At 36.5% G+C, this 15,665-nt stretch overlaps 4 annotated features.

The window, feature by feature from the left end:
- Positions 438-497: an enhancer, noted in NCBI's record as "active region_16839". NCBI's record gives its function as "activates an Ori minimal core promoter by ATAC-STARR-seq in GM12878 lymphoblastoid cells {active_cell/tissue: GM12878}" and the evidence as "EXISTENCE:reporter gene assay evidence [ECO:0000049][PMID:35858748]".
- Positions 745-1,244: an enhancer, noted in NCBI's record as "H3K27ac hESC enhancer chr2:184408305-184408804 (GRCh37/hg19 assembly coordinates)". NCBI's record gives its function as "activates a minimal SCP1, AML or CMV promoter by ChIP-STARR-seq in naive H9 embryonic stem cells {active_cell/tissue: H9 hESC(naive)}" and the evidence as "EXISTENCE:reporter gene assay evidence [ECO:0000049][PMID:30033119]".
- Positions 14,074-14,710: an enhancer, noted in NCBI's record as "OCT4-NANOG-H3K27ac hESC enhancer chr2:184394839-184395475 (GRCh37/hg19 assembly coordinates)". NCBI's record gives its function as "activates a minimal SCP1, AML or CMV promoter by ChIP-STARR-seq in naive H9 embryonic stem cells {active_cell/tissue: H9 hESC(naive)}" and the evidence as "EXISTENCE:reporter gene assay evidence [ECO:0000049][PMID:30033119]".
- Positions 14,711-15,348: an enhancer, noted in NCBI's record as "OCT4-NANOG-H3K27ac hESC enhancer chr2:184394201-184394838 (GRCh37/hg19 assembly coordinates)". NCBI's record gives its function as "activates a minimal SCP1, AML or CMV promoter by ChIP-STARR-seq in naive H9 embryonic stem cells {active_cell/tissue: H9 hESC(naive)}" and the evidence as "EXISTENCE:reporter gene assay evidence [ECO:0000049][PMID:30033119]".

Raw genomic sequence — 15,665 nt, 5'->3', positions numbered from 1 at the left:
TGCATTGGGTTAGAAGACACTCCTTTAGCTCAGAGGAGTTCATTATTACCCACTTTCTGAAGTCTACCTCTGTCAATTTGTCAAATTCATTTTTTGTCCAGTTTTGTTCCCTTGCTGGTGAGGAGTTGTGATCTTTTGGAGGAGAAGAGGCATTCTGGTTTTTGGATATTTCAGCCTTTTTGCGCTGGTTTCTCCCCATCTTCGTGGATTCATCTACCTTTGGTCTTTGATGTTGGTGGCCTTTGGATGGGGTTTCTGTGTGGACATCCTTTTTGTTGATGTTGATGCTCTTCCTTTATGTTCATTAGTTTTTCTTCTAACAGGCCCCTCTGCTGCAGGTCTGTTGGAGTTTGCTGGAGGTCCACTCCAGACCCTGTTTGCCTAGGTATCACCAGTGGAGGCTGCAGAACAGCAAAGATTGCTGCCTGTTCCTTCCCCTGGAAGCTTCGTCCCAGAGTGGCACCCGCCAGATCCCAGCCAGAGCTCTCCTGTGTGATATGTCTGTCAAGCTCTGCTGAGAGGTGTCTCCCCATCAGGAGGCACAGGGGTCCAGGACCCACTTGAGGAGGCAGTCTATCCCTTAGCAGAGCTCAAGCACTGTGCTGGGAGAACTGCTGCTCTCTTCAGAGGTGGCAGGCAGGAACATTTAAGTCTGCTGAAGCTGTGCCCACAGCCACCCCTTCCCCCAAGGTGCTCCGTCCCCGGGAGATGGGGGTTTTATCTATAAGCCCCTAACTGGGGCTGTTGCTTTCCCCCTCCCTCTCCACCACCCCCCCACCCCCCACCACCCCCCTGGAGATCTCCTGCCCAGAGAGGAGGAATTTAGAGAGGCAGTCTGGCTGGCTACAGTGGCTTTGCCGAGCTGCAAAGGGCTCCGCCCAGTTGGAACTTCCCTGCTGCTTTGTTTACACTGTGAGGGGAAAACCACCTACTCAAGCCTCAGTAATTGTGGACATCCCTTCCCCGACTAAGCTTGAGCATCCCAGATCGACTTCAGACTGCCGTGGTGGCAGCAAGAATTTCAAGCCAGTGGATCTTAGCTTCCTGGGCTCTGTGGGGGTGGGATCTGCTGACCTAGACCCCTTGGCTCCCTGGCTTCAGCCCCCCTTCCAGGGGAGTGAATGGTTCTGTCGTCTCAGTGGTGTTCCAGGTGCCACTGGGGTATAAATAAAAATCCTCCTGCAGCTAGCTCGGTGTCTGCCCAAATGGAGCCCAGTTTTGTGCTTGAAATCCAGGGCCCTGGTGGTGTATGCACTCAAGGGAATCTCCTGGTCTGTGGGTTGCGAAGACCATGGGAAAAGCATAATATCCGGACTGGAGTGCACCATTTCTCACTGCCCAGTCCCTTACAGCTTCCCTCGGCTAGGGGAGGGAGTACACCAACCCCTTGTGTTTCCTGGGTGAGGCAGTGCCCCACCCTGCTTCACCTCACCTTCCATGGGCTGCACCCACTGTCTAACCAGTCCCAATGAGACGAGCTGGGTATCTCAGTTGGAAATGCAGAAATCACCCACCTCCTGCATTGATCTCGCTAGGAGCTGCAGACCAGAGCTGTTCCTACTCAGCCATTTTGGTAAGTCTCCTCAAAAATTGCTTTTAAAAGTGTTGGTGCATCCATACAATGGAATATTGTGCAGCCCATACGATAATGAGGAGCATGGTTTTTACTGACACAGAATGGCATACAAGCTATATTGGTATGTGACAAAAGCAAAAGAATACAGAACGATATAATAGGATATTACAGTCTGGATAGAATGTAGTGTTTGCCTATATATCTTTGGAAGGATTCACAAGAAATTGCTAGCATGGGCTGCCTGAAGGGAGTGGTACTCAGCCACTGGTGGACAGGAATGGGAAAGAGACTTGTCACTTACTGCCTTCTTGTAGCTTTTGAACTATGGGTCTCGAAAGTAAAGAAACTTAAAATTCCACAAAAGTTAACCATTGAAAGATTTTCCTAAATGGCTTCAGTTGAGGCTATAAAACAGCAGTAAAACTGAACTTTGTATTGCTGGTACGTGTAAAATACTCTACATGTTAGATAACAAAGAGCAGTTCCATAGCATTCAAATGCTGACACTAATGTCAGTTTGTACTAGTCAGGGTTCTCCAGAGAAACAGAACCAACAGGAGATACATATATTAATATGCATATATGGAGGCTAAGTCCCACGATCAACCATCTACAAGCTAGAGACTCAGGAATGCCAGCTGTATAATTCAGTACTACTCGGCAGACTCGAGATCCAGAGAAGCCAATGGTTTAAATCCCTAATCCAAGGCCAAGAGATGAGATGAGATGTCCCAGCTCTAGCAGTAAACGAGGCAACAAGGAGTGAATTCCTACTTTCTCCACTTTGCTCTATTCAGCTCCTCACCAGATTGGATAACGCCCAATCACATTGGGGAGGGCAATCTACTTTACTGAGCCCACCAATTCAAATACTAATCTTACACAGATACACTTTTATAGGCACATCTAGAAATAATGTTTAATCGATAGCCCGTGGCTCACGCAAATTGACACATAAAATTAACTATTATGCAGTTCAAACAATACTCATGCGATTCAAACACTTCCAAGAATCTGTGTGTGACGCAACTATTTCATTCATCTAAAATTTTATAACTGCTTCTAGAACTTAGCATAGTTGATTATAAAACCATAAACTGTTAATCATACAGAAAGATGGAGCGTATAAAGGATATTTAGTGTTTTCTATCTGCTCAACTCCTTTCAACACAATTGTAATCATCTGGGAATTTTTGACCTCTTCAGTCCCACCTTCGTAAGTTTAAAGCCAGAACACTTAATTCCCTGCCTTGCTCGTGAATGAGTCACAGGCATGTGACCAGCACCCATGCTCCAGCATGAGTTACACGGCTCTGCATATGCATCCAGTGTGCTGGTGAGTGGGCAGCAGAGGCATTGGACTTTGGAGGACAGCAGTGATTGCGAAGTGAGATCTCAACACAAGGACCTCGAGGTCTGAGTGGAACACAGCTGTAGCATCCAGTGCCTGGTAGACATGGCAGCCACTGGGTCATTTTCTCTTCAGGCTGGTATGCTGTATGATTTGGAGTCTTTTTCCTAAAGGCATAGCTTTGACGCTTTGAAGTTATCCTCTAGCCTTATTAGTGCCTCTGTGAGTCTCCCAATATTCGTTTTTAAAAATTATTCTGCTTAATCAGAGTTATTTCTACTTCTTGCATTTAAACATGCTGACAGATATAGGAAGCTTATAGTTTAATAAAAACCAAAAAATATGTATGCCAGATATTCCACTAAGCAGACTCCAAAGCAATTAAGTTGCAACATTTCTTATGTAATAAATATTCTTAGGGAGTTTTTTTTTCCCCTAAGTCCTGGAAAAGGAGAAAGAAGAAACTTGTATAATAAATTACTATGGGAAGCTGTTTTCCCAATCTAATAAATGTCATTATTGACAGCTGTAACTTTGCACTAAATTGAGGAAAAGAATATAGAGGTGGTAGTAACAATAAACACTACACTCTTTACATATACTATCATATTTAAATCATACAACATCACAAGCCAGGACTCATTTTACATATGGTGAAACATAGGTTAATTATCTTGTTGAACATCATAACTACTTTTGAACCTAGGCAACCTAGTCGTCTTCTTGATCACTGTATTGTATTACCTCTCTGAATTTAAAATAAACCCTAAAACACAGGATAAATTATTTAAAGTTGTTTACTTGTGTACTGGCAATAACTGTTCATGAACAAATATTGTATTGTTTTGACTTAAAGGATTATCTACAAAAGATCAATTATATACATAGGTACTGTAAAAGACAAAGCTGGGCACGGTGACGCACGCCTGCAGCCCCAGCTACTTGGGAGGCTGAGGTGGGAGGATCGCTCGAGCCCAGGAGTTCGAGTTCAGCATGGGCAGTGTAGTGCTGTCTCTAAAGAAAGAAGGTGCCTTTTTCCAAAACATTGAAGAAGCTTAAAAAAAAGAAAGAAAGAAAATAAAAGAAAAAGAATCAAGTGCCTTGAATTCATCTTAAGCTTCTTAATACTATCTTTATTATCCTTTCAATATACCCCAAAATTTACAGAAGGCAAGTTATATTAACCCTACTTTGTCAAAATACTCTGTATTCCCTGTAAAGCATTTATTCTCCACCTTCTCATTTATCCATTACATGTAAATGGTTCTTTTCGGCCATTTGAACCAGTTCTGCTTTTTTCACTTATAAATCCTTTTTTCCTAAAATATGGAAGTTTTCAAGTTGTGGAAGAACTCTAACTAAAGATGCATTCAAGGACAAAAATGTAGTCAAATCATAAAGCAGAAAGAATTCATCAAAAGTTTGCTACTCACTCTCATGTGTTTGCCAGTGGAGTACCATGTATTCTTTAAAAGACATTTACTAGGAACCTATAGAAGGTACTTTCCAAGGAGGTATGAAAAACACATGAGAATAATTAATGCATGGTCTATGTCTTTGTGAAACTTACAATTTAATAGAAAAGATAGAACATGATCAAAAATAACTACAGTTCAAGTGGAAAGTAAAAGACATGAAAAGGAATGTATGAATAGAAAAGTTTCTTTTACTACAAGAAAGAAACACAGAAAGTGTTCCAGAAAGTACAAATCAGACATCTGTGAAATTGTACAGATAGAGCATTCCAGGTGGAAGGAGCAACACAAGGAAAAGCTCAGAGGAATGAAAGCCTTGGTGAATGAGCATAACACAGAAAAGTATGGGTTTACTGTCTGGTAGCATCATGAAACGTAGAAAAGAGGGTTAGACTGGAAATATAGTGTGATTTGTGAAAACATTCAATGCCTGGCTCAGGAGGCAGAATTTAACTTGAAGGCCATGATCATTTTCACTAGCTGCAGATGCACTGAGCTCTGAGTGTGTTTTGACCATCTATAGCAAGTACTCAATCAGTGATGCCAACCACATTATTATTTATTATGACATATTTTTTACATTAGTAGAATTAGTGAAGTGGGCAACGAAAATGGTTCATCAGTAAATGGATATGCTTAGATTTCCGACCTTATGTCTTACATTTATTTTGCATGACATTTAGAGTTTTGTGGATTATGTGACATGCATAATGTTTCCCAAAATACTCACTTGATAGGTAACAAAGTTAAATGAGTCTTTGTGTTCAAAATAAAGAACTGAATTTCTTAAATGCATGCATACATACATTTTTTTTCATTTTTGTTCCCAGCATGAAGCTGTTAGAATAGAGTTGTTTTATACATCATTAAATAATAATATTTATCCTGCAGAGTTAAACCATATTAATTGCATTTCTCATTTTTTCTTTTGAAAGCAAAATGAAACAATGCGCAAAATTATAATCATTTTGAAGCTGTAGAATATTATATCCAAAGTTCAATTTGTCTGCTCAAGTCATGTTAACCTTCTATTTTCACTGCTTAAATAATAAAGTTTTAGACACGTGTAAGTTTTATTCAATTTTTCATACTTAGTTTGCTTTGAGGGATCCCTGGTTCCTTATAATTTGGATGAAGGTGTTTTTAATTACCATTTAAAGTGTGTGAAAAATATATTTTGAAATGTCTTTTTTCTTTTTCTAACGTATATCTCCTAAGCTGATGCCTGTCCTTGAGAGAATTGCTTTCCAGGTAAGAAATTACACCCAGGAAAATACATTATATATGTTTTTATCTTTTAAAATTTTCTTTTGGGTAAACACTAAGCTTAAGAATCTGTCACAATTTATATACAGGGTTTTCTTAAGTTATTCAGTGTAATTGAAGGGTTGCCTATAGAAAGGATTAAAAATCCTTTACCTCTTGTTTTGGATGAATGGCTCTGACCTAAAAGTTGGGTTCAAGTTAAAGTTTACACCCGCCCATCGAAGGGGTGAGAGTGCCTTTGTGATTAGCAGGGCTGAGCTCCAGGCCTTCGTAACACAAACATGATTGTCTCCATCATTCTGTTCCAACTGTTAGTGGAACTATGCTGACATCCCACAAATTATTGAGCCTAGAGGCTGAGAGTTGACCATGTTTGTAGCAGCGTTGGTTGTGATCCCTTAAATTTAGAGACACTTTGGCCTGAGAGTTGGCAGAATTGGGCTTTGTCTCAATTTAGCCACCAAGTATGTAAAACATCTTCACTGCTCCTCATCTGTGAAATAGTGTTGACACTGAAGATTACTAGCTCTGGCCATGATATGATAATAGAAAAAAAGCATTTATATGGTATATTTCTGTACACACTCCTTCAAATAAAGCTCACTATGAATCTGTGGGTAGGTATAGTATAAATGTGAAAGGCAAGAGGCTCTCAGCAAATGCAATTCATTTCAAAAAATGGCTCCAAAGAAGGTAAACAATGTTTCCCGAGCAGCCTGACGTGGCCTTACTAAAATTACCATGACCCAGGGTCTGGATCCCAGTTTTACAGGCTCCAAAACTCTTATTTACTAACAGCAGTGATCATTACTATCATTACTGTTCAAATTAAAAAATATTTGGCTGAAAAAGTTACAATTTAGTCTATGACCTGAATAGAAATGGGTAAAAAGGAAAGAGACTGGTACTGATAATAATGAGCAGAGCAATGCAAATTTGGCAGGACAAATCAAATTTGGTTGTAAAATGAAAACACTTTACAAGCCTAGTAAAGACGTTTCAGTTGTTTGTGTATGCAATGTCACTCTCATTAGTAAAGGTTATCTTGCAGCTTCAGTCTGTAGTTTCTTATTAACAAAATGGAAAGTGAATATACAGACTAAATTAAACATTTCACCTCTTCAGGGCCGGGCCATATCTGACAACTGTGTTTATCCGTGCATTCACTCAATTCAACAGTCATTTATTAAGTCTTTGCTGTATAGAAGCAGCTGCATTTTGGATAGCATAGAAAAAATACTTTCAGATGCAGATTTTTATTGAATCATAAAAATGTAGATTACAAAAATATATACAATAGCACTGATATCTTTGGCTGACACAAAATGTTCTCCATTCAAAACTGATATGTACACTGTATTTTACACTCTCTCTAGATGATGCACTTTTTCAATATCTGTTTTGCAGTCAGGGTTGGAGCTCCCTGCCCCAGAGGTCTGCTGGAGCTGTACCTATGTCTCCAATCCAGAAAGAGTCTCCTCACCTGTTACCAAAAACTTACAGTTCCAGCTGCTGCTGGAAGGATTTTTGTTCTGAGTACTCTATTCAGGTTCTGAATCAAAGGTCATATCACAAAATAGTCAATGGTAACCATTATTGTAAGATAATATGGAATGAGTGAGTAATTTTACATAATTTATAAAATTGTCAAATAGTTAGTTATATATTTCTTTTTAGCTCTACTTATTTGTCTTCTATCAACTGTTCAAAAACCAATTTACATGCCACTTCTTCCACAAAGACTTCTTTGTTTTCCTCGGCTTAAATTAAGTTCATCTCTTTTCAATAGTCTTCATTCTGAGGAGGGTGAGGTTAAAAGCTTTCCTCTTATAAAAGGTAGAATGAAATGATATAGTTTCAGTTATAGTGTTAGTTATAGTGTTCTTAGTTTATTTTTAAAGTTAAAATACATCTATACAACCTTAAAAGAAATCTTCGGAGGAATTGAAAATAAAATAAGAGCGTAATAGTCCGTGCTTATACAGTTTTTAAAAAAGAAATGGTCAAAATTCATAAGAGATAGTATACAACAAAATTACAGAAATAAAGCTAAGTATACCTACTATAACAGTAAATATAAATGGCTTAAACTCCACCATGTATTTTTAAAAATTAATCCTCAGATTCGTTTACAAAAACAAATGCCAAGTATATAACTTAACCAAAAAAAAAAAAAAATACCTAAAAAACATATACAGAGTGGTAAGGAAGGGGTTAACAGCAGATTCCTCACTCAGTCTCTCCCTCCTCAGGAACACCAAGGTAATGTTGACTTCAGCCAGAACTCTTTATTGTATGATAGAATGTATTGGCTCGAAGAAAACGAGGTTCTTCTTGTGGCTTCTATGAACTATACTTATTTCTTAAAGAATATTCTTCTCACAGTATATACCTGGTGTAACTAGATTGTTGATTGTTTTCTTCTTTGCTTGTTTGTTTTAAATAAGCCCATATTTTTGGATTGATGGCCCCAAGCTCTGCTGAAGAATGGAAGTTAGTCATAAAGTATTCTTAGTTACTGTGGCTAACAAATCGCCAAATTCAGCAACGTCCCTGTGCTAATGCATCTGGCACAGAATGAGCCTTCGAAATCCAGACCCAAGCAATCACCAGTCTTTGTCTAGGAAGGTGCCTCTGATAGATTCAGGAACTCCTAGATAGCAGCTTAGTGTTGGGTGTGGCTCCTTTCTTGAATCCTTTGCACAGTCCTTAGTACAGCTTTATGCTGTGTAAGATGAGATTTTAATAAACAACTGATCCCTTTGTGGTAGTGCAAAGGATAGTGTAAGGCAATGCCATGATTTATTATAAGATGAATAGGGAAACAAAGTCTGGAAAGGTAGACCTTGAGGAAAAGGACACTAAATGGGATCTCAAATAAAGTAACAAGAAAAGAAATGTACAAACCAATATCCTTCATATAAATTTAAAATATTTTTAAACAAACAGTAGTAAACAATTCCAACATATAGAAAGGATAACCAAGTGGGATTTGTACCAGGAATGCAGGATTAGCTTAATATCTAAAAACTTAATTAATATACTATATCAATAGAAAAAAAGAACAATTTATTTAAAAAATAAAATATCTGAAGAAACTAGAATTAGAAGAGAACGTCCTAAATTTCATAAAGACATCTAAGAAAAAACTACAGCTAACATCATACTTAGTAATGAAAGATGAAATACTTTCCTTCTTAAGATTAGGGAGAAGACCAAGTGTTGATTTTCACCACTTCTAGTTAACAAACATTATACTGTATGTTCTAGTCAGTGCAGTAAGAAAAGAAAACGAAATAAAAAGTATCAGATTGCAAGGAAAGAAGTGAAACTGTTTATTCACAAATGACCCGATTGTCCATGTAGAATTTCCTAAGGAATTTGCAGAAGAGGAAAAGAAAACAATACTAGGAAAAATAAGTTTAGTAGGTCATAAAAAACAAGATTTAAAAATTAAGTTTAGTTCTATAAACTAGCAACAAACAATATCAAAAGGAAATTGAGACAAATCCATTTATAATGCTATAAAATATTAAAATATTTAGGAATGAACTTAACAGAAGTACAAGAACGTGCACACAGAAAATATTGCTGAGAGAAATTAAAGAACTAAGTAAATGGGGAGATCCATCACTTGTTTAGATTGATAATAATGTAATTTGCCACCCAAATTAATCTATCAATTTAGTACACTTCTTGTTAAAATCCCAGTAGCCATTTTTGTAGAACTTGACAATCTGAACTTAAAACTTGTATAAAAATGTAAAGGACTTAGAATAGCTAAAACAATTTTTTAAAAAAGAAAACAATGGGACTTACATTGCCTGATTTACACACTTATTACAAAGTTACAGTAATCTACAGTGTGATATTGGCATAAATATATAGATCCATGGAACATAATAAATCCCAAAAGTAAACCCTTAAATATATGATCAGTTAATTTTATCAAAGGTCCAGACAATTCAATGGAGAAACAATAGTGTTTTTATCAAACGTATGATGGGCAACGTCTACCTATATGCCAAATATAGATATAATTTTTGTGTATGCTATGAGGTAAACTAATTTATGCATATAGGTATAACTACCTCACATATTTTATATATAATTATCTCACATCATACACAGAAATTAATTCAAAATGAATCACAGACTTAAATAAAAATCTAATACTTTTAGAAGAAAGCATAAGAAAATTTTTGTGATATTGGGTTAAGCATAAGATTTTTGTTACATGTGGCACTAAAAATAGGATCTATAAAAACTGATAAGCTGAACATTTTAATAATTAAAACTGTCGCTCTTCAAAAGAAAAGCAAAGAAGAAAATGAAAAGACAAGCCACAATCTAGGAGAAATTACTTGCAAATCATATATCATCATCTATCTGATAAAGGACTTCTATATAGAAAATATAAAGAACCCTTACAAGTCAATAAGAAAACACCCAGTTAAAAAACAGGCAAAAGGTCTACATAAACATTTCACCAAATAAGATATACAAGTATTTAATAAACACATGAAAGGATATTAAACATCATTAGTCATAGGGAAATGCAAATTAAAACCATAATGAGACACCACTGCTCTCTCACCAGAATGTCTATAATGCAAAAGACTGATGATACTAAAGATATGAAAACACCAAACCCTCATACATTTCTAGTGAGAATTTAAAATAATACAATGACTTTGAAAACCAATTTTGCAGTTTCTTAAAAAGTTAAACAGATCCTTACCATGCAATCCAGAAATTTCACTCCTGGTTATCTATACAATAGAAATAAAACTTAGGTCCACCAAAAAAATGTATACAAATGTTTACAGCAGCTTTATTCATAAAATCTCAGACTGGAAATAATGCAAATATGCATTATCTGGTGAGTGGATAAACAAAATGTGGCATATCCACACAACAAACTATTATTTAACAGTATATAAAGAAGCAAACTCTTGATACACATGCTACAATATGTATCAAACTCAAAACCATTATGCTAAGTGAGAGCAACCAGACACAAAAAACTACATATTGTATGATTTAATTTCTAGGAGATTTCCATACACAGGGCAAATCTATATAGACAGAAATCAGATTAGTAGTTACCTGCAGCTGCAAATGGAAACAGAGAATGACTGCAGACTGACAGAGAACTTTTTTAGGTTGATAGAAATGCTCTGGAACATTGTGGTGATGGTTGCACAACAATATAAATTTATAAAAAGAATTGTATGCTTACAAATAAATTTTATAATATATAAATTATACCTCAAAAATATGCTAGAATTATTAAAACAGTAACGCCTACCTGTTTTGAAGCTGTCTTGAAGATTATATGCAGGACCAAATTAGGACATTTGAGGCCCCTATCTACTAAAAATATAATCCTGCCTTCACGTAAAATAAGCAAAAAGAACAGTATTAACCATAAATAAATATAAAGAGGTTAAAGAAAACTTCTGTTCTTTCCCTGTGGGGAAAGTGCTCCAATACCTTCTTTAAAATATAAAAAATAACTTTTTGAGTGTCCTGACTTCACTAATACTCTAAAGTCCTTCTTAATTTTACCTCTGAGTAATTCAGCATTCCATTTAACAAGATGACTCTCATGCTATGTCCTACTTATTGTTCACTGATGATATTAAACCATAAAAAGATTATGGCAATAACACTTTGTAGACTTTTTTTAAAAAAATACTTCTCTATTCTTCTGATATAGTTTGGATATTTTTCCTCTCCAAATCTCATGTTGAAATTTGATCTCCAGTGTTGATGGTGGAGCCTGGTAGGAGGTGTTTGGGTGATGAGGGCAGATACCCCATGAACAACTTGGTGCCCTGCTTGCATCAATGAGTGAGTTCTTGCTCTAATATTACCCTTGAGAGCTGGTTGTTTAAAAGAGCATAGCACCCTCCCCATGTGCCATGTTTCTTGTACCACGTGCAGAACCATGAGCCAATTTTCTCTATAAAGCCAAAATGTTTATGAGTCAAAATTTCTTTATAAATTACCCAGGCTCAGGTATTCGTTTATAGCAATGCAAAATGGACCAAGACACCTTCTAAGGTCATCTGAAAGAGGCAAAAACCCATAGCAATTCAAAAAAAAAATCAGCTTATCTCTTATTTTGTACAAAACATAATGGCTTGAAATAATTATTTCAAAGAATGCTTTAACTCCTGAATTTATACTAATGCTTGATATTTGTATGACACTTTCTGGTTTCAAAGTGTCTTCACATAAAATATTTGATGGTACAGAAGAAATCGAAGGTATTTTATTTCCAATTTCCCTGAGAAAACTGAAGCTTAGGGATTTTTAAATGACTCCTCCAACTCATGGCGATACTAGGAAAGGCAGCCAGGACATGAACTTGAGGCTTTCTATTCCCAGATGTCTGCTTTCCCCCACTGGGGTGCTATGTTATGCTAAATGAAGTCTTGTAACTTCCTACACTATGCTCTTTGATGTGACTCACTGGAAAGACTGGTTTTGCCAGGAGTTTAAACTAGTGCGTGAAATTCTTGCTTAAAAAAAAATTCTAAATATAAAAGATGAGAATGAATAAAGACTAAATAATAACCCAGTAATTTTCACACTGCTTACATACTCACATATTCATACATCAAATAAGCATAAAGTGATTTAAGATGAATGAATTTATGTAAAAAAGGAACAATAAAATATTACCTCAATACTACTAGATAGCAAATCAGTAAGTACCTGAGTCCTCAAAGGGAGTTTACATTCTAGGAGAATCTAGCAAGTTGCTTTTTAATCTCAATAATTAAATTTCACAAAAGCTTATATTTATAAATATATAATTATACATTGAAGCATATTTCATTTAGTTGATACCTATCCATACTATACACTTACATGCTTATATGTGTATTTATGCCAACTGAGGAAAAATATCTTTTAATTTTTGAAGGAATGTCATAAAGATGCATAGACATAGTTATAAATTAGATATAGATGGATTATTTTTTAAATTTTGCAAACAAAATTCCAGTTAAATTGTGAATAGCTGGTCACTCATGTAACTAATTCTGGAGGAAATAATATTGAGCTAAGTTGACAGTCTGTTTTTCTCATAATATTATTTTTCATCAAGACTAGGCAGGCAAACTTTCAACTACAAGGTGGTTTCTTATTCCTCAGACCCTTTTACAGAGCTGTTTTTCTGCATTTCGAACTATTTTATTTTTCTTTCATGTTTCCACCCTCTTCACTTCCAAAAGTGTGCTGCTCAGCTGAAATATTCAGAAAGGAATCAGATGTATGAACTCCTCCCAAGGTGTTCTATCCTACTGAAGATTGAAAGTCTAGCTCTTTGAAGCTCTCTTAATGACTTATGAGTATCAAGAAAGGCCAATGGAAAGAGTTTTAGATAGCGACGCAAAGATATACATAACATTCCCCGACTGATGACCAGTGTTCACTGGTATTCTTATTGTTTAAATGAATAGATATTAACTCCAGTTAAAATCAATGGCATAGGCTAGAGGCCACTATGTTGATTGAATTAAAATACATCCCTATTCTTTGAAATTTAAGTCAACAAAGGTTTCGTGTTGTCTCTCTTATACTTAGTGCGTTGCCAAAGAGTTCCAACAAGAAAGAAATGAGCCAGGACCTTAAATATTAATATTTGTGAGGTAAAATGGTTGATCCTGTTAATAATATAAGCCCATGGAAAACTTCTGAGATCCTTATGTATTGGATGAATATATGCAGAATTAATTAGCTGTAATCAGAGATGGACAATCTCACTTTAGCACAGCATTACCATTATCTGAACAGAGATAAGATGGAATAACTGAAACAGTGACATTATTTTCACATCATTTCAGCCAAATTATTCTAAATCCAAAAGCTTTGACTATGTAGCTTCCTGCTGAAAAGCTGAATTGTAATCAGCCTAAGATACATTATGTTGCAAAGCTGCACCACCAGTGCATAACAGAACCTTATTTTCCATTAATTCATAACTTTCTGAAAGTGTAGTAAACACTCCATATGCTTAGTAGCCCCCAAAAAAGAATGTTCTCACATTTTAAGATTGCCTATTAGGGACTTATTTTTAAAAAATATACACCCAAAGAAAACAGTGACTCTCAAAGCCATTTTTGAAAACTAACTTAACCTATGTGTTAAAACAAGTTTAGTCACCTGTCAAGAAATATCAGTTCAATTGTGCATTTTAGCAAAAACCCAACAACATATGCTGTGTTTATAGTGACTTTTGAACTCATTTAATGTGTTAATTATTCCACAAGACTGAATTCAGAGACAGGATACATGGGAAAGAAAGAAATAGAATTAGAGTATGTGAGAGAATCTCATCTAGTATAACAGGATGTGAAAATGAAAAAAATTCTACTGGAAATGAACCCTGTTCTATGAATACTCCTAATACATGACTCACACACCTTCATTTTGGTCTCACGTTTTTGGTAAACGATGTTGCTTGCTTGTTTTATTTACTCTGGACATCAGAATCTTCACTTCATGAAAGTCAGACAGTGTATAACTTTGAATATTAGTCATTAGGAAACTCAAAGGGGCCCTTTAACTCAGATATTTATTTTTAAAAAAGAAATAGAAATTGTAAATGTCTGAACTCACATGAGGTGATGAGAACAGTAAGCAGCCTTCTATATTGTGCATTGTTTAGTCGTCAATTTAGGATGTATAAATACATTGTGCATAATATACAGGGGAATTCTGATACCAGTTTCAAATTCTCCTACACAGGAAATTCTGAAACTCTTAAATAAGTGTGGTTAATTTCATGCGCGTCCATGTGAAGAGACCACCAAACAGGCTTTGTGTGAGCAATAAAGCTTTTAATCACCTGGGTGCAGGTGGGCTGAGTCCGAAAAGAGAGTCAGCGAAGGGAGATAAGGGTGGGGCCGTTTTATAGGATTTGGGTAGGTAAAGGAAAATTACAGTCAAAGGGGGTTTGTTCTCTGGCGGGCAGGAGTGGGGGTCGCAAGGTGCTCAGTGGGGGTGCTTTTTGAGCCCGGATGAGCCAGGAAAGGGACTTTCACAAGGTAATGTCATCAGTTAAGGCAAGGACCGGCCATTTACACTTCTTTTGTGGTGGAATGTCATCAGTTAAGGTGGGGCAGGGCATATTCACTTCTTTTGTGATTCTTCAGTTACTTCAGGCCATCTGGGCGTATATGTGCAGGTCACAGGGGATGCGATGGCTTGGCTTGGGCTCAGAGGCCTGACAGTTAAGATAACTGTTCCTCTTTTGGATTGCTTTGGATTTCTCCTCTGAAGTGTTCCATGTTCTTTTTTGTGACTTAAGAGTGGAGATGTTTATTTCCTTGAAAATAATTACTGTTACTATTTGCAAACTTTCACAGACTTATTCAGTAATTACTCCAAGTCAATTTAAGTACCTAATATTTTTCAACAGATTCTCATGAAACTGTTTTTCATATTTCCTGCATACTATGTGCCCTGTCTTCCATATTCCCTGCCAATTATGTTTTGCTTGGAGGTCCCTTCAACTGACTGAGGTCCCTTCAACATAAACATGGAAGACAGCATGATATTTTATTCATAAGCACTTTTACATAGATTGTAACCCACCAGCACCATGGACCACTCAAGGAGCATACCAGAAGCAAAGGAGCTTGCAAAGGGGGAGGTAAGTGTTGGGCAGTGAGCAGGGCAGTTAGGGAAATAAGGAATTGACTGACAAAATACCAATCAGCAACTGGCTGTCATACAAAGGGATTTTTATCAATGAGACTCTGAACCAATTGATTCTGTATGATTTCCTGCACATACACACAAGGGAAATAATAATCGGTTTGGGAAATGTATTAGTCAGTTCTTGCATTGCTATAAAGAAATACCTGAGATTGGGTAATTTATAAGACAGGAGGCTTAATTGGTTCATGGTTCTGCAGGGTGTACAGGTAGCATGACAGCATCTGCTTGTAGGAAAGCCTCAGGGAGCTTTTACTCATGG

This window comes from Homo sapiens, chromosome 2 (genome assembly GCF_000001405.40).
Source record: "Homo sapiens chromosome 2, GRCh38.p14 Primary Assembly".
In the NCBI taxonomy this organism is placed as follows: Eukaryota; Metazoa; Chordata; class Mammalia; order Primates; family Hominidae; genus Homo; species Homo sapiens.
This window is presented reverse-complemented; position numbering and strand designations above follow the sequence as displayed.